Source organism: Homo sapiens, chromosome 14 (genome assembly GCF_000001405.40).
Source record: "Homo sapiens chromosome 14, GRCh38.p14 Primary Assembly".
Lineage (NCBI taxonomy): Eukaryota > Metazoa > Chordata > Mammalia > Primates > Hominidae > Homo > Homo sapiens.
This window is the reverse complement of record NC_000014.9, coordinates 68,604,744-68,622,616: the sequence shown is the minus strand read 5'-3', so window position 1 is coordinate 68,622,616 and position 17,873 is coordinate 68,604,744. Positions and strand designations below refer to the sequence as shown.

At 46.5% G+C, this 17,873-nt stretch overlaps 1 protein-coding gene and 1 long non-coding RNA gene across 5 annotated transcripts in view, besides 3 other annotated features; one reads left to right on the top strand and one right to left on the bottom strand.

Annotated features, from left to right (window-relative positions):
• Window positions 1-17,873, bottom strand: part of RAD51B (RAD51 paralog B) — an 863,318-nt gene that overhangs the window by 60,480 nt on the left and 784,965 nt on the right. For 2 of the 4 annotated variants that reach the window (NM_001321809.2, NM_001321821.2), the window contains one exon: window positions 10,597-11,611. The exons of 1 other annotated variant lie outside the window; for it this stretch is intronic. Coding sequence is in view for 2 of the 3 variants with exons in the window: in NM_001321821.2 (NP_001308750.1) it covers window positions 11,370-11,611 (242 nt within the window). In the remaining variant the exon portion in view is untranslated. Of the gene's footprint in view, window positions 1-10,596; window positions 11,612-17,873 lie in introns of those variants that run through there. One more of the 4 variants, NM_001321815.1, reaches the window with a different exon arrangement.
• Window positions 3,110-3,301: a silencer, noted in NCBI's record as "fragment chr14:69086033-69086224 (GRCh37/hg19 assembly coordinates)". NCBI's record gives its function as "represses an EF-1alpha promoter that drives an FKBP-Casp9 reporter gene in an ReSE screen in K562 erythroleukemia cells {active_cell/tissue: K562}" and the evidence as "EXISTENCE:reporter gene assay evidence [ECO:0000049][PMID:32094911]".
• Window positions 11,911-12,205: a silencer, noted in NCBI's record as "tiled region #11310; HepG2 Repressive DNase matched - State 12:CtcfO, and K562 Repressive non-DNase unmatched - State 13:Ctcf". NCBI's record gives its function as "represses a minimal TATA promoter and a strong SV40 promoter by Sharpr-MPRA in HepG2 and K562 cells {active_cell/tissue: HepG2 | K562}" and the evidence as "EXISTENCE:reporter gene assay evidence [ECO:0000049][PMID:27701403]".
• LOC107984016 (uncharacterized) lies at window positions 12,065-17,217 on the top strand. Its single transcript, XR_943973.3, has 3 exons — window positions 12,065-12,672; window positions 12,949-13,085; window positions 16,131-17,217. It is a non-coding gene; the product is annotated as an uncharacterized LOC107984016 (long non-coding RNA).
• Window positions 14,936-15,582: an enhancer, noted in NCBI's record as "H3K4me1 hESC enhancer chr14:69073752-69074398 (GRCh37/hg19 assembly coordinates)". NCBI's record gives its function as "activates a minimal SCP1, AML or CMV promoter by ChIP-STARR-seq in primed H9 embryonic stem cells {active_cell/tissue: H9 hESC(primed)}" and the evidence as "EXISTENCE:reporter gene assay evidence [ECO:0000049][PMID:30033119]".

Below are 17,873 nucleotides of genomic sequence, written 5' to 3'. Positions count from 1 at the left end.
AACAACTGAGTATCTACCATGTGCCAGCCCTGTGTTAGGCTCTGGGGGTGAGGAAGTGAGTGACAGAAATGCACTCTTGCCTTTAATTTAAATGCCATCACCTCAGAAAGGCCTTCCGTGACCACCCTCTTCCTAGACTTGTGACCTCCTAAGAACTCCCTTTTGGTAAACAGCCTCCCGCTTTAATTACTTGATCCATATTTGTCTTCCCCACTAGACTCAGCTTCAGGAGGAGAGAGACCATGCCTGCAGGAATCAAAATGAATCAGCACCAATCCTGACCCAAGATGATATGGGTTGACTGAATCAGTTGTTCCTCATCAAGTATACTGGAAGTCAGAATGGCTCCTCCTCCATGATGCCCCTGTACTTAGAGCATCTGGCGTCTGTGAAGGGTCTAATCCCAAGTGAGGATTCTGCTCCTGAGACAGCCAGGACCAGACGATTGCCAAGGTCCCTCCAGCCTAAAGGCAGTGACTCTAGAACAGATGGGGCTGGATGGTAACAGGGTAACTGGAGCTCAGGAATGGAGGCCAGGTTAGAGGCATGCTTGCCCAGTCATTCCAGGTGCCCAGGTTCCAGGCTTATCCCTCTTTAGGAGAGAAGTAAAGACATGAAGAGGAACCCTCTGTGGGCCTGTGCTGACCCATCTGCCACCCCCAACCAGAGGCATGAGTGACATGGGAAAGGGGAGTGGCGTTGGGGCTGCTTGGCCTGCCTCCTGCACCCCAAAGCTCTGGGTTCAATTACACTCATTGTCACTGTGCACAGAACCCACGTCACCACTGAGGAGATCAGCTGGGCCCTGGCTGCTGACAGCTTGTTTTATTCTTGCTAAGCCACTACATCTTGGCTTTGTTGTTATGTTTCCAATAGCAACAGGAGAAAAGACAACTTTTTCTGCTTTGGGAGCTTATTTTTTTCTCCCGTAGGAGAAAGCTCCAGCCTGAAGACTTGATGTCCTTGGGGCCCCAATGTGGCCTTAGCCCAGACCCTGGGGGCCAGTAAGGAGAAGTCCAGCTTAGCTCTGCCCCAGGGAAACAGCGGGTAGCTGAAGTCATGGAGGATCCAGGAGCCAGGAGCTATCAACTCTTCTGGAATTGGGCTCAGCTGCCCTTTTTAGTTTTGAATGGCTACAAAATATCCACAGTGGCTTGGGTAGGCCTAAAGCATAGACAGTGGAGAAAGGAAAAGGAGAGAAAAAAGGAACTTAAGAGTAGAGGAGAAAGGAGTGGGAGAGAATGGCAAGAGAAGAAAGGTGGCTGTGGAGAAGTGCAGTGACACCATCAGCACCCTTGGGCATCACTTGGCATTTGAAGCCAAAGAGGATGACCCCACAGGCCTGGATGAAAAATATAGAGGTTCTCTCTGGCAAGGGGCTTTTGCTTTCCATTGAGAAGGAGCTGCCATCATGAATGGATGGATGGATGCATGGACAGGTGGGTGGATGGATGAATGAAACAATAAGCGTGGTATTCCCAGGATTGAATGAATGATAAAGGAAGGAAAAATAAGTGAGAAGTGAGAGAATCCAATGAGGGGTTAAGCCATCTTAGGCAGGGATTGCCAAGGAGTGGTTTGGGAGGGCCTTGCCCCGTCCCCTCCAGTCTCCATTGGCTTCCCCTAAAGTCTTTCTAAGTAAATAAACATGCAATCTAAGTGGAAAAATAGAGTGTTTACTATACAAAACAGCCTGATGAAAACCCCCTGGCTCCTGTATCAGCCAATATTCCATCCATAGGTTCTCCTTTACAGAAACTCCCGAGCTGCCACTCATCAACTACAAGGCATTGTGTCTGCTTTTTCCAAATCCCATCCCAGACCAATTGTATTCAGGCTGTGGACAGACAGGTGAGGACCTGAAACATGATTAAAGGATATAGGGAAAATAAACTTTAGATTCACTTGAGAATAGGAAGAGTTAAAGGGCCTTAAGCCTTTCAGTCACTCCTACTTAGGGATTTGGGGTATTAATTAACAATAGCAAATCATTGGGTAGATTGTCTCTGCTCTCCCTTCAGTAAAAAATGTCAGGTATAGGCATTTCTTCCTATGCCCAGTAGGAATAGTTCACTGGGGCCAGGATCAAGGGTTAGGGGTCAAAGGACTATACTCTCTAAGCCTTGAACCAATAATGTGAGCAGCTAGTGCAGAAGTGAGCAAGGCTCTTCTTTCATGGAAGGTTCTTATCAGAAACCAGAGCTGTCTGGAGGGACACAGTGAGTCAGATTACAACAGCTACCCATGGTGGGGACAGGTCAGAAGGGGTCACGCAGAGGCTGTAGGGAAGGTTGCTATTCTTAGGCCCCTACTATCTCAGGCGTCTGCTGACTCACTTGGGAATCTCTGGACTCCTGGGTAGATCCAGTCCAATAACCTGCCTAGTTCTTGGGTAAGCCTGTATTGCCTTTAATGATAATAAATAACAAGAAAATATAGACTTTTTCTCTAAAAGAAAGATGCAATATCATGTTTAAGCCTATGCAAGAGGAAGGGTAAGGAGGTCTGATTCCCAGAGAAGCATCAATCTTACCTCAGATCTTGGAAAGACTCCTGGAAGGAAAGGGAGAGAGAGAGAGGCTAACCCCGGGGTAGTGGCCCTGGAGGCTTTGGTACTGAGTCACAACATGGGTAGGGGAAAGGTACATTATATTTGGGGCAAGGATCAAGTGAAAGTCTAGGAAAAACATCAACCTTGGAGACTGAATAGGCTTGCCACATTAGAAGCCTCAAAAGGGGACTTAAGTGTCCCTTTGATTAAGGAGAAGACAGAAAAGGTGCACTATGCAGAAAATAACCTCCTCAGGAAGGCAAGTACGTTTAATGGGTTTTCACAGAAAGGTGGGAGACCATTTCATTTTCCCTTTCTTAGGACAGGGATCTGGGGATGTTTGCCTGAGAGGTTATATGTTCGTTGTGGCCTAATGTCTTTCAGAGTAGACTGTCACCAACTCTTTGACTCCTCCTGCTCATGGATTCCTTCCACCATACCTTTGGTTTCCATTTCTAAATGTGCTTCAGCCTGGGGGAGGCTGCAGTAAATGACTCTGTCTAACTTGCTTCCTTGACCTTAGGACTAACCTTTTAAAACTCATGACTTTTCCTTCTTTATTTAAAATCTCTATCTTTTAACTTTTTTTTTTCTTTTTTTTTTTGAGATGGAGTCTCACTCTGTCACCCAGGCTGGAATGCAGTGGTGCGATCTCACTCACTGCAAGCTCCACCTCCCAGGTTCACGCCATTCTCCTGCCTCAGCCTCCTGAGTAGCTGGGACTACAGGCGCCTGGATAATTTTTTTGTATTTTTAGTAGAGATGGGGTTTCACCGTGTTAGCGAGGATGGTCTCGATCTCTGGACCTCGTGATCCACCCACCTCAGCCTCCCAAAGTGCTGGGATTACAGGCGTGAGCCACCACGCCCAGCCTTTTAACTTTTTAATTTACTCATTCTATTGATTTGTCTTTCTAGTTAAAAAATAAAAAAATAAATCTTCTCCAGGGAGCATGTGTCAGGAGGGAAAAGAGTCCCTTGTGTGTTAAGCCCTACTGGCTAGGGTTAAAAGCTGAGTTGCTTGTGTGAACTTGACCTTGAGCATGATCCCCAAATGATAGTTGTCTCTACGTGAGTGGTCTTTATCTGGCCTCCTCCTCTCTTAGCACTGACCAGGCTATATCTGTGGCTAAGACCTAGAGGAAAAGACTTGGGTTAGCCTGTGAAGCAGAGCAGCTGAGCTAGGAATTCTAAGAATGGGGGACAAAAGAAAAAAAAAGGTAGGGAAGGTGGAGGGGGCACTTCTTTCCTCAGGTCTGCTGTTATGGTACAGCCTCCTGAATTTGAGTTTCTCAAGTAGTCAGGGCTAGGCTCAAGTTGTCAGGGCTAGGCTAAGGGCAAACTGAGGCTAGAGTCAGTAAAGTGATCTGCCTATGGTCTTACAATTACTGGGCAGTAGATGGTTTACATTTAGAGGCAGCATCAACAACCCTGTAGTATCAGTTAGAATTCTGGTGGGGAAAAAGAGGAGAATTTAATGAAGGGATTATTTATCAAGCTATGGACAGGATTTAGGGGAACTAACAAAGGAAGGTGCAATACTTTAAGCTTAATCACATTGAAGAGGCATTACCCTCCCTAAATCCAAAGGGTCAAGAGGAAGGAATAGTTAGGAGAATCCACAGAGAGTACCTGTAAGGAGAGGGCCTCCCAATAGGATGGTGACAGTGCAACTTTTGGTAGAGGGGCAAAACTAATTCACAGTGATTTGACAGGAAAGGATCTAGGGGAATAAACATCCTTTCTGTCTTGTAGTTTCCTGTTTGTGTCTCTTTTTGCCTGAGCACAACTAGAAACTAGAGGTCAATGGTGCCCCATTGATGCAATCTAGACAGGTTGACAGGCCAAAGGGTGGCGAGTGAATCTGGAGAGCAAATGTAAGATAGCCAGCCACCTGGGAACACAGATGAGATTTGTTTGTAGTAATTTCCAAAATTTTTTGCCTCTGTCTCCATTGCCATACCTGTTCCTGCATGGCTTGCAGATGCTAGAGTTTTTCTGCTGCTTCCTTATATCTTGGAACCCCCAGCCAGGTTATCAGGTCTAGTTTCTGGGCCTGCCTGCTATCATTCATCATTTCTTTATCAAAACCTGTTCTTAAGATTTTTGCTTCTGGCCATGACAAAGCAACAGGATCCAGATTTACCCTCCCCCTGTATCCCTTGGGATTTGAAGCCAAAGAGGATGACCCCGCAGGCCTGGATGAAAAATATAGAGGTTGGCCTGGCCAACATGGTGAAACCCTGTCTCTACCAAAACTAGAAAACAACAAAATAAATGTACTGACGGCTTCAGATATTGTACAACACACAGTGCAGAACTATGACCCATGAGATAAAGAAAATACATGTGGTAAATGATCATGACAGTTTCTGATTGGAGGCACATTCTGGACTTTACAGCAGGGGAAACAATATCCCAAGCACAGTATGGTAGTCTTGTTAAGTTAAAATACAGAAATGAAGGTCAAGGAGACTGTAGTTGGAAACTGTGGGGCAGAATTCTAGAAAAGAGGGGACCATGTAAAAAAAGCTCCAGAAATCTGCACAAGTGCCCTGTTGAGTGCTTAATACTAAGATGTTCATACCCAGAGTGAAGCTTTGTAAGTCTGGGCAAAGAATGACCAGAAGCTATAAGCTGAAAATTTCAGAGTTCACATGGGATTCTGAGATGTAAAAATATCAACCAGCTTGATCAGCTGGGGCATTTAGTAGAGATCCAATGAGGTTCATATGCAGATAGTAAGACTGAACTATCCCTAGAATAAAAGAAACGTTAGGTTCATTCTAACAAAGCTAAAAACAAGCCTCTAAAGGAATAATCTTATCCATAAGTAACTGCCTGCTGGATAAAAACTCAATACTCCTTAAAGGAGGATTTAAAAATATACAAACATTCAACAATGTAACCTTTAAAATATCCAACATCTAAGCAAAAATTACTAGACTCACCAGGTAGCAGAAAAATGTGACCCATATCAGGAAAAAAGGCAATTAATAGAAACATGCCTGAAAATGACAGAGTTGAAAAGACAGAATGAACAGACAGGCACGTTAAAACAGCTGTTTAAGTAGGCAAAATATACTCCAGGATTTTAAGAAAAACATACATAAAATGAGGAAAGAATGCACTTCTTGTGGTGGAAAAGACAATATCTGAAATGAAAGGTCAGTGGCTGAAATTCAAAGCAAACTAGATGCTACAAGGAGAAAAGTAAAACTGAAAACAGCAATAGGAACTATCCAAAATGAAGCACCAAGAGGAAGAAGACTTCAAAAACAAAACAAAACAAAACAAAAAACCCAGAAATGAACAAAGTCCCATCAATCCTTGAGCAATATCAAGTGGTCTAACATATGTATAATTGAAAAAGAAAAAAGAGGGAGAACAAATTTTTGACAAAAATCAAGGCTGAAAATTTTCCAAATTTGTTAAAAACTATAAATACCACAGATCCAGGAATCACAATGAACCCCAATCAAAATAAGCAAGGGAAATCACACCATCATACCAAAGTACATCATAATAAATTACTAAAATTAGTAATAAAGAGAAAATCTTAAAAGTAGTCTGAAAAAAGCTGTATTTTATAGTGTCATAGAGAGTATAGGAAATACTGCAGACTTCTGATCAAAACAATGCAAGCCAGAAGACAATGGAATACTTTCTTTGATATACTGAATGATACACAAATCAAATTCTGTATCCAGCGATATAATGAAGACTTTTTGAGATAAATGAAAGCTTAGACAATTCACCATCAGCAGATCTACCCTAAAGAAATGTTAACATAAGTTTTTTACAAAGAAGGAAAATAATACTTGGATCTACACAAAAGAATGAAGAGCACCAGAAATGGGAAACATGAGGATAAATATTAAAATTTTTCATTAAAAATTTCTTTAAAATATTAAAGCAAAAATAATAAAGTACTGTAGAGTTCATAACATATGCAGAAATAAAATTTATAGCAGCAATAGCACAAAGGACAAGAGCATGTAGCTAAAAGTCAATGGTCTAGATAAAATGAAATAACAAAAAAGAACCCTCACTTCAAAAGAAGGCAAGGAAAGATGCAAAAGGTAACAAAGAACAGATGGAATGAGTAGAAAACAAATAGTAAGATGACATACCTAAACCAAACATGTATGTTACATGTACTTGTAATTAAATGCAAATGGTCCAAATACCCCAATTAAAGGTCAGGCACTATCAGACTGGATTTAAAAAGCAAGAAATTCATTTTAAATATAAAAACACAAATAGTTTAAAAGTAAAAGAATGAAAAAAGATATGCTGTGCAATGCTTATCACAAGAGAGCTGGAGTAGCTATATTAATAATAAAAAAAGAAGACTTTAGGACAAGGAATAGCACCAGAGATAAAGAGAGACAATTTCATAGTGACAAAAAGGAAAATTTAAGCCAGGTGCAGTGGCTCACGCCTGTAATCCCAGCACTTTGGGAGGCTGAGGCAGGCAGATCATGAGGTCAGGACATCGAGACCATCCTGGCTAACACAGTGAAACCCCATCTCTAATAAAAATACAAAAAATTAGCTGGGCGTTGTGGTGGACGCCTGTAGTCCCAGCTACTCGGGAGGCTGAAGCAGGAGAATGGTGTGAACCCGGGAGGCAGAGCTTGCAGTGAGCAGATATCACGCCACTGCACTCCAGCCTGGGCGACAGAGCGAGACTCCGTCTCAAAAAAAAAAAAGAAAAATTTAAGAAGATTTAACAATTCTAAATGTTTCTGTACCTGCTAACAGAACTTCATAATATATGAATCAAAAACTGACAAAAGTTAAAGAGGAAATAGACAAAACCACAGTCATAGTTTGAATATATACATTTCATCATTCCTCTCTCAAGAATTAATAAAACAAATAGTCAGAAAAATCAGTAAACCAGTAAGGATACAGATGATCCCAGCACTTTGGGAGGCCAAGGCGGGTGGATCACAAGGTCAAGAGATCGAGACCATCTTGGCCAACATGGTGAAATCCCATCTCTACCAAAAATACAAAAATTAGCTGGGCCTGGTGGCATGCAGCTGTAGTCCCAGCTACTTGGGAGGCTGAGGCAGGAGAATCGCTTGAACCCAGGAGGCGGAGGTTGCAGTGAGCTGAGATCATGCCAGTGCACTCCAAGAAAGCTAGGTCAATTGCTCATATGACTAGCATTTCTACTCCTAGGTATGTACCCAAGAGTATTGAAAATCCATGTCCACACACACTGTATATGAATGTTCATAGCAGCATTATTCATTTTAGCCAGAAAGTGGAAACAACTCAAATGTGCATCAACTGATGAACAGATAAACAAAATGTGGTTTATCCATACCATGGAATATTATTCAGCTATGAAAACAAATGACATTCCAATACATGCTACAACATGGATGAACCTTGAAAACACTATGCTCACTGAAAGAAGCCAAACACAAAAGGTCACATATTGTATAATTCCATTTATATGAAATGTCCAGAATAAGCAAATCCATAGAGATGGATAGTAGAATAGTGGTTGCCAGAGGAAAGGGGAAGGAGGAATGGGGAGTGACTGCCAATGCATATGGAGACTCTTTTGGGGGTGATGAAAATATTCGGAACTAGATAATGGTGATAATTGCACAATTTTGTGAATATACTAAAAATCATGGAATTGTACACTTTAAGAGGGTGAATTTTATGGTATGTCAATTATATCTCAATTAAAAAAATAAGTATTTGGTATAAATGATTTTATGCCCCAGTGTTGATAATGGATAAAGGCTTAATGAGAGACTCTTCTCAGCAATATGGTTCAACTCAGACCAACTCCTCCCTACAAAGGCTACAGAATCTATTTTTTCAAAAAGTCCAGCTCTTAGGACCTTTGTTCTTAGCTGTGGTTGCTACCAGGCTGCCTCTGAGGCCTGAAAAATCGTGTCATAGGCAGTAGAGGTTGAATTTTGTATTTTAGTATCTATGCTTACTTTCCTGCAGTATGAGTTCTTTAAAGTCTATTGCTAACTTGCACTCATAGGCTGAATTGAAAGAATAAAGGATCACAGTGAGGCACTTTACAGTTTATAAAAAAGCATGTTCACATTCACCACTCTTTTGATTTTACGCATTTAGATTTAAATTGGGCGTTCTGAATGGCCACACAACAGCAGGCCCTAAACTCTAGCCCCAACCTCTCTGACTCCAAAAATCGAGTCATTCTTAAAACAACTAAAATGTGCTTCTGAGCAAGTTATGGAGAAATGGGCTGCCACTCGCCCTCCCAAGAATATTATGAAGGCTCTTAGCCATTTAAGGAACAACTTCTGGCCAGGCAGGGTGGCTCACGCCTGTAATCCCAGCACTTTGGGAGGTCAAGGCGGGTGGATCACAAAGTCAGGAGATCGAGACCATCCTGGCTAACACGGTGAAACCCCATCTCTACTAAAAATACAAAAAAACTAGCCGGGTGTGGTGGTGGGCTCCTGTAGTCCCAGCTACTCAGGAAGCTGAGGCAGGAGAATGGCATGAACCTGGGAGGCAGAACTTGCAGTGAGCTGAGATCGTGCCACTGCACTCCAGCCTGGGTGACAGAGTGAGACTCCATCTCAAAAAAAAAAAAAGAAAAAAAGAACAACTTCCACTAACAATCTTTTTTTTTTTGAGACAGAGTTTTGCTATTGTTGCCCAGGCTGGAGTGCAATGGTGTGATCTTGGCTCACTGCAACCTCCACCTCCTGGGTTCAAGCAATTCTCCTGTCTCAGCCTCCCAAGTAGCTGGGATTACAGGCGTGAGTCACCATGCCTGGCTAATTGTTTTGTATTATTAGTATAGACAGGGTTTCACCATGTTGGGCAGGCTGGTCTTGAACTCCTGACCTCAGGTGATCTGCCCACCTTGGCCTCCCAAAGTGCTGGGATTACAGGCGTGAGCCACCACGCCTGGCCTCCACTAACAATCTTATATTGGTCTGCATTATGCAGAATGACCTGGACTATTAGTCATGGGGCAGGCCCAGATGTTAAATAGCTTGGTCCAGTATGCTCACCTCATTAACCATGTGGTTTGTGGGTCCATTTTCACTCCTGCAGGGACACACACACACAAACACACCTCTCTTTACAGCAAGATAAAGAGTCACCTATCTTTTCCCAGCAGTGCTCTGACCAGGGCTGAGTTCCCACTTGCATTTCCTTCCTCCCTCTCTCCCTCCCCCTTCCTCCCTTCCCCTCTCCCTCCTTCCTTCCCTCCCTTCCTTCCTTCTTTCCTTTTTTCCTTCCTTTTTATGGTCAAATATACGTAACATAAAATTTATCACTGTAACCATTTTTAACTGTACTGTTTAGGGGTGTTAAGTACATTCTCACTGATGTCCAGCCATCACCATTATCTATCTCCACAACTTCTTCATCTTGAAAAACAGAAACTTTGTATCCATAAAACATTAACTCCCCGTTCCCCTCTCTCCACCCCAACCTCTGGTAATCACCACTCTACTTTCTGTCTCTGTGAATTTGACTCCTCTAGGTACCTCATGTAAGTGGAATCACACAATATTTGTCCTTTGGCCACTTGTATTCCTTGATGGCAAAGAGTCATCTTGTTCCAGAGCTGGCCCATAGGACCAGGTGTTTCATGTGGTAGCCGGGAAGGATAGCAAGAGGAAGGATAGCAGATTCTGGAGTGCAAACACATCCCCAGACAGAATCAGGAGGGCTCCCCTCATCCTGTCGACAGCTGGAAATTCTTTCTGCTCTTCTACAAGTTGAGTGTTACAAACAGGAGACTTTTCAAGCCCAGTCCCAAACACAGGAATTCGTCCCTCGTCAGTCTGTCTCCTGGGCCCCATTGAGACAGCTGGACTTCCCACGCAAGTGAAAGCATTCAACTGGGAGTGCCTTTTCCTGGGTCAGCCTGTTCCAGCTTACCCTTGAAGGAGACCATCAGCTCCTTAAGAGCAACAGCTATTTTTCTGTCCCAAGTTGTGTAGAATGCAGTGTAGAGCACTTTTAAAATGTCCATTTTGGCTATTAGCAGCAATCAATGCAATCTATACCAGCTCAGGTTGGCATGATAATTTTATTTACTTAGCCAGTCCTTTGAAATTCACAGCAAGGATATGAGCCTTATGCATGATCCTCCCACTGGTTTTCGTACAGGTGAATGAACCGATTCCTTATTGCTGAAAAAAAAAAATCTTACACTGGACTTGGAGTCAGGCCACAGCTAGACTGGAAGCAAGGAGACTGGAAAGCAAACGTGGACCTGACAGGCTCTGTCATGTCCCAGGCCTAATCTGGTGGGAGTCCTGAGAACAGCCTGTGCTGTGTGTGCCCAGGTGCAAAGAATATGTAAACCTTTCTCAAGTGAAAAAGCTTAGCTTTTTCCAAATTCCCATTTGAGACTGCCTGTGCGACTGCACAGTGTGCACACTCATGCAGATAGGTGGAGTCCTATTCAACTTCTACAAAACACACTAATTTGTTGATTTGTTTTATTTCTATATGGTACCTTTCCTCCTAGGAGCTGCAAGGCTTAATAAGCTTCAGCAATCCTTTTACAATAGAGATGCTGCAAGGAGGGCAGAAGCTCTAATCACTCTGCAGAAGACCCAGCTGGAGGAAATGAGATCTCACGTGGGGATCAAGGGTTGTAGGAGTGGGAGGAAGATGTAGAGAAGAAGAACTTTTTCACTGGAGACATTGTAAAACCATGACATCCTTTGCTGAAAGGGACAAGGAAGCAACTTCCCTGGAGGTTCAGAAAGTAGAATTATAGTTGCTGTCGGATGTTAAATGTAGATCTGGAAGTCGTGGTGAAAAACTAGGCTGGGTTACACTGGATGCTCATCCAAAGTCTCTGTTCTGATTCCAGTTGCCCAGTTTGTAGGAGGAAGAGCAGAAGAGAGGACAGTTGAGTGCATCTGTGGAGGGCACATGGAGACACTGGGTAACAGCCTGGGATTCCTTGTTTTTCTGAGCACCACATCAGGTATCAGGAAGGTAGGGCTGGGATGTGAGTCTGCTGCTGACCAGCATTCTGACCTGGGGCTGACTCTGGCCACAGTTCTAACAACTGTGAAATGAGAGAATAAGATCAGATTTAAATGCAACAAACTTTTATTAAAGATGTGTAGGAAACAACATTGAATAATAACTGTTCATGGCCTGCAGGGTTACACAACTAGGGAGATGACACACACACACACACACACACACACACACACACACACACACATATACATTCAGATGTGGTTATAATAGGGAATGAACAGTATTTTAAGGGAAAATGAGGCAGGAGAGAAATTGGTTTCACCTTTGGAGGAGGTAGGCCTTGAGTACGATTGAATAAGGTGCTGATGGGTGGAAATGGATGTAAAGAACAGGAGGTGTCTCTGGAAGATAAAACAGGCGAACAAAAAGAGGGACCAGAAGACTGGGTAGGTGCAGAGGGTCAGTTCTGGGAGTGAGCAGCAGGTGGCTATGGTGTGAGCACAGGTACATATCACATGGCAGGGACTCAGGCAACATCTGCTGAGTGACAAGTGGCGGCAGTGAGGTTGTACGGGAGGACAGGGAGGCCTGTTCCTGGCAGGGGAGCCACATGCATGTGGAGCTCATATGGGTTTCTGAAAGGGAGACAGGCCACTCTGATGGGCTCTGTGTCCAAGGACAGGGAGACCACGGGAAGCGAGGCCCAAAGGCTGAGAGGTAAGGTCCAGGGAGGAGAAGGAAAGGGTTTGAATTCAGATAGCAACACCGGAGTGGGAGGGATCTGAAAAATAGAGCAGAAGCTCCTTCAGGCATCCGGAGGCTGACCAGACATGCAGGGAGACAGAGAAGAAAGAGATGAAGAGAATGCTGGGTTTTGAGCCTGGGCAGTGGGGAGGGTAGAAATACAGAAAGAGACAAACAGCCTCAAGGAGAGGTTTGGGGAGGAGAAGATCAGTTCAATTTCGTGAGAAGTTCTGCAGGGTGTCTAAGCAGAGACGGCCAGCAGAGTAGGCCGGTAGAAATGTGGGGATCTGGGGAGCTGGAAATCGGGGGCTCATGGAAGCACTGGCTGAAGATGTGGACGCGGAGGAGAGAGACAGAAGCGATGTGCTGGGAGAGGAGGCCCGGCCAGCAGAGGAGCAGGTAAAAAGCACGGGGATGGAGAGAAAATGGAAGCCTGGCAGGAAGTCACCAGGAGAACCCATGGAGGGGAGGCAAAGGGTGGGTGGGAAGCCCAGAAACTCTGAGGAGGCAGCTAGGGGGTTGGCTCCTGGGCCACTGAGAATGGCCTTCAGTAGCAGCCGATGGCCAGGGCTGGAGAAGAGGAAGGTGAAAGGACCCAGTGAGAAGTGTGTGATACGGGGGACAAGAGCAGAGATGGTGTGCTGAGAGAAAGCCATCTAAGGGAAGCCCTTTTAGGACAAGGAAGAGGACGCCATGCTTGTGGCTGTGCACTGGAAGCACTGGAGATCCTGCTGCCACACAGCTTCCGGTCCAGGCTGAGGACGGCGGCCACTTGGTGTGGAAGACACAGGAGCTGTTGCATTTGCACCCAGGTATGGAAGTTAGTTTTGCAAAGGAGGTGGGGACATCCTCTGCTCTCGAGGGAAGGAAGGGTGGTGGTGTGAGTGAGTGAGCTCTGAGGGGGGTGAGAGGAGACTCCAGGGGCCCTGTGGGAAGGCCTGGACCTGCTCAGTAAGGGGCGTGCTGAGAGATTCTGCAGGTAGAAGGTAGAGGTGGGGATCTGGGGCATCTGAGGAGAGTGACAGTGGCCACTGACAGTGGCCTCAGGGGAGAGCCAGACTCAGCCTGTGCTGGGCCTGCAGCCGCACCTCCTCTGGGGCCTGGCAGCCGAAGGTTTGGAGTGAATGCAGTGGATGGCCATGAGGGGCCCTCGGGGCAGGCCTGAGTAAAGTTGAGAGTGAGGGTGCTGAATGCCTGAGATCAGGCGGGCAAGGGAGCCCAGGGAAGCTTCTAGAGGGAGAGGCGGGGGCACAAGAGCCAGGGTGACAGCAGGAGAAGGAACAGGTGAAGGGAGGAAGCTGCGGCCAGAGAGTGGACATCAGCAGCCAAGGTCTCAGGGTAGATGGCTGGAGGTGTCTGAGGGAGCCAGGCAGGTAAGTGACAGATAGACCAGTGCAGAGGTTGAGAAGTGGGGGCCCCGGAGGAGGGGCCACAGCATGGAGAAGGGAGTATCTGGGCCGGCTGCAGAGCTGATGGGTGACAGAGGAAGAGGGACCAGCAGGGCTGGAGCCCAGAGCCTTGGCTGGGGAAACTGCTGTGGACAGCCCTCCTCTTCATTCAGCGATAGCACCTGTTGGGAAGCCAGGAGGCTCCCAGAGGCAAAGGGGGCCTGCTCTGTTCATGCTCACTTAACCCCACTCCTTGAGGGCCTGGGCTGAGGTGCTGATGCCTGAGTTTCATGCCCGGGAACTGTGATGGTGAGGGGAGGGCATGAAAGGTGGCTCCTTCAGCTACTGACCCATGGCCCTACAGCCTGCCCAGGAGTACTCTGCAGCCGCCAGCTACCTGCAGCTGCTCTCCTCCTCCAGGGAGGTTAAAGCCCCATTCTAGGTCAGGCCCTTAGGCAGGGAGAGTCCAGCATTTCCTCTTTCACAGCCCCGGGACTTCCTCACCACGCTCAAGCAAGGCCCCTCTGAAGCCGAGCATCTCCTGCGTGCTCCCAAGCCAGGGAACTCTCACTAGGGAAGGACTCGGGGTGGTGGTGGGGGACAGGCCCTCAGCACTTCCCCTCTTAGAGAGACAAGCCAACAGCACAGCTGGACGCCCCACTCGCAATTTGTTCAGCTCAGTTTGATTCTCTTTCTCTCCCTGGTGAGCTTCAGTTTGGAGTTGTTTGCTCTTCATCAGCAGTTTCTGGAAATGTGGTGTTTGGAGAGGGTTGGGGAGGCCTAAGAGAAGGGCAGGGAAGCTGAGAGACTGTGCTGGTGCCCAGCTGCACCTGGGGTGGTCTCTCATGGCACGCGCTGTGCCCAACCCTCAGGCCTACCGCCCTCAGCAGACCTAGGTGTCCTTTCTCAGGCCTCTCAGAACCTTTGGCCTCATACCACCCCTGGCTAGAAAGTGCCACGGGCTCCTTCCACTCAAACCAGAACCTTCTTTTCTTGATTCCTTCCCCTGAGGTCTGGGATTTCTTTGCCTTTCGGCCTGGCTCTTCTTTCCTCTGGAGGCCTGTGTGAGAAGGGGCACGATGTAGGGCCGGGCCTGTCCTCCCGGGTAATCGACAGCCCCTCCTCCTACATTGCCAGCCCCTGTCTTCCTCCCCAGCACCCCGCAGAATGGCTTTGGCCCTCCTTAGAGTGCGCCTCCCCGGGGCTGTGTGCTCCCCGTCCTTTCCTGGTGCCCCATGGTATCTGTCCACAGCAGAAGAGGAAGACACAAAGGCTTTGTGCAGAGACCCCGGGAAGAAGAAGATAAATGGAATTTGCAATAAATCCAGGAGCAAAGTTGTAACTTGACTTAAAAACAAACAAAAGGGCCAGAACTGCACTTAAGCTCGGCAGAAGCTCATCTCCCAGTGTAAACAGAAAAGGGCGGACGTGGGCTGAGGAGCCTCACGGGCCTGGGCTGGCAAGGGAGGGGTCTGGAGCAGGGCTGGCCGCAGACTTCCTCTGGAAGAGATGGGCTGTGGGGGAGGGTCTCTGTGGCCTTGTGAAAGGAGAAAGAAGGTGCTGGCATTGTTGTTGTTTGCCACGCATTTTTCCATGACTTACTCTTTCGAAAGGATACTCTCAGGATTGGGACAAGAAGGTTGTTTTCAAACTGGTACTGGGCAGATAAAAGCTGGGACCAATGGAGAGCAAACAGAAGTGCTGGCATGAGCTCCCAGCCTCAGCCTTCCCTGGAACTGGAACACTGGAGCTCCCTTAAGCCTCTGCACGGGCTCAGAGGGGCTGGGTGCACTACACTGTGTTTCCCTCAGTGGCCCGCCCGCATGACCCTGGAAAAGTCACTCTTGCTGCAATCACTGTGCCTCACCTAGAAGTGTGAGGCTGGACTTAAATTACGGCGCCTTGTTTTTACATGTGACACTTTATAATTTACATATGACACTCCATAATTTACACATGACATGCCACAGTTTACATGTGACACTCCCTAATTTCAACATGCCTCTACACACCTGAGCCTCCTCAACTACTGAAGAAGTTGGGTGGATCAGATGTTATCATCATCTTATGCGTAGGAAAACTGACACAGAGAAGTAAAGAGAACTAGACAAGGTCACACAGCAAATTAGCAGTTGCCCCAGATCAATGCAGTGGGAAAGGTGGGTCCTGAGGTACAGTTCCGACTCAGTTAATAACAAACTGTGTCATCTTGAATGAGCTGCTTAACTTCTCTGTGCCTAGGTTTTCGTCTAAGATGCGATTCCTTCCAAAGGTTAAACAGATTGGCTCCCACCCTCTTTAACTCTTTGTGGCTGGGTTTTTCAAAGTCAGGAACCCCAGGGAACCCAATGGTGTGTCAAGGACCATACAAAACCACAGTTTAAACATGGCATACCTTTCCAGAGCCTCATTTCTACACTCAGATATTTTTGGAGGAAAAAAAGTCAACATAATGAAATCTTTTTTTAGGTTGTAAAACAAGATGGTGATATTGTAGAAGAAGATGCAAAAATTCCAATTTTAAAAGCAAAACCAGAAAACTTCAAGGACACGTGGTGCTTGCTGCCATCTGTTTCCGGTTCTGCAGAGTATGTGTTTGCTCCCTCCTGCCTCCTGGGAGCTTGGTGGGAGAGTTTGGGAAGTGTTGCCAGGGAACCCACCCTAAGAAGCCTGGCTTGGCTCTTCCTAATGGGTATTCGAGCCTCACTAGGCAGTGAGCTGCTCATATTCCTGGTGAAGGTGAGATGGAGCTGTTTTCACAGCATCTTACACAGTTGTTCCGGTCCTAGGCTGCACCTTAGAATCACCTGATGAACTTTCAAACAATACTCATGCCAGAGTCCCACCCGGCCCAAGTGCACCAGAGTTCCTGGGAGTGTGGTTAGGGCACACTGTGTTTTAAAAGCTCCCGGGTGATTCTCAAGTGCAGCTTCCGCTGGGGACGCTGACTGACAGTTTAGACTTCAGAGTTCAGGGATCCTGAGAGTGTCTATGTCCCTGGCGGGAAACGGTGGCACAGACAGCGTGTCCCCTACCCTCTACCTACCAACCACACTTAGACTAGTGGGCGAATGAGACTGCATTCCAGAAGCCCACCCCCAGCTAAAGAAAGGGTGCAGAGGTTAGGGGCGGGTGGAGAGCAAGACGAAACTTTGCAGGGGGGCAGGAAGGCTGTACTGTGTTGGATAGTGTCCCCCCAAATTCATGTCCTTTCCAGAGCCTCAGAACGTGACCTTATTTGGAAATAGGGTCGCTGTAGATGTAATTAGTTAAGACACAGGAGTGGGGTAGGCCCTTCGTCCAATCTGACTACTGTCCTTATGAGAAGAGAGAGAGAGCACATGTGCAGATGGAGGTGCACGCCCAAGCACACCAGGGGCTAGAGGAGGCCTGGGACAGGCTGTAGAAAGTAAAAGTTCCTCTCCAAAGTTTCCCTTCTTGTTAAACTGTTAGCCAGTCGGGTTTTAGTTTAGATTGTCATGTCTGGCTCCAGCCAATGGAGACAAGACACAGTAGCAGGGACAAACTGTGTAAGGAATAAAAATTGATTCCCTCCTTTGTTCGAGTGTACTCTCACCATTGTTCCATCTGCGATGAGCACCCTTTCTGCAGAAAGTAAAAATGGCCTTGCTGAGAGAATTAAATTTATGTTTGAGTGCTATTTCTTTGCAGCACCAGGGAACGAGCATTCTGTTTCTAAACAAATATTTTACATATAACACAGGCTCTCCCTCAGTGCATCGAGAAGGAACCCGCCCTGCTGTGACACCTTGATTTTGGACTTCTCGGATCCAGAAATGTGAAAGAGTGCATTTCTGTTATTTTAAGTAAAACTTGACCAAGTCAGCCTTATAAGAAACTAATGCAGAGGCTGATGTCAGTGAGGCCTCCCTTGAGGGCTGGAGCGAGGGAGGCTGCAGCACCGCCTGGGCCACACCGGTGGGCGTCTGAGGAGCCACAAGGTTGCTGGCTTGATGCCAGCAGTTATATGAAGGAAATGAACACTGGTGGGCTCGTTTTACTGAAAAGCTGAGGGGATGGAGTAAACATGACCTGTCCAAAGTGTCACTCTCCGAAGAAAAGACGAGAACACAGGAGCTAGTTCACTCACTCATTCATTCACTCACTCAGGGAGCCCTGAGTGCTAGGCTCCCAGAATACAAAAGTACATGAGACCAGAGCAGCGTGGCCCTGTCCTCAGTGAGCCTGAGC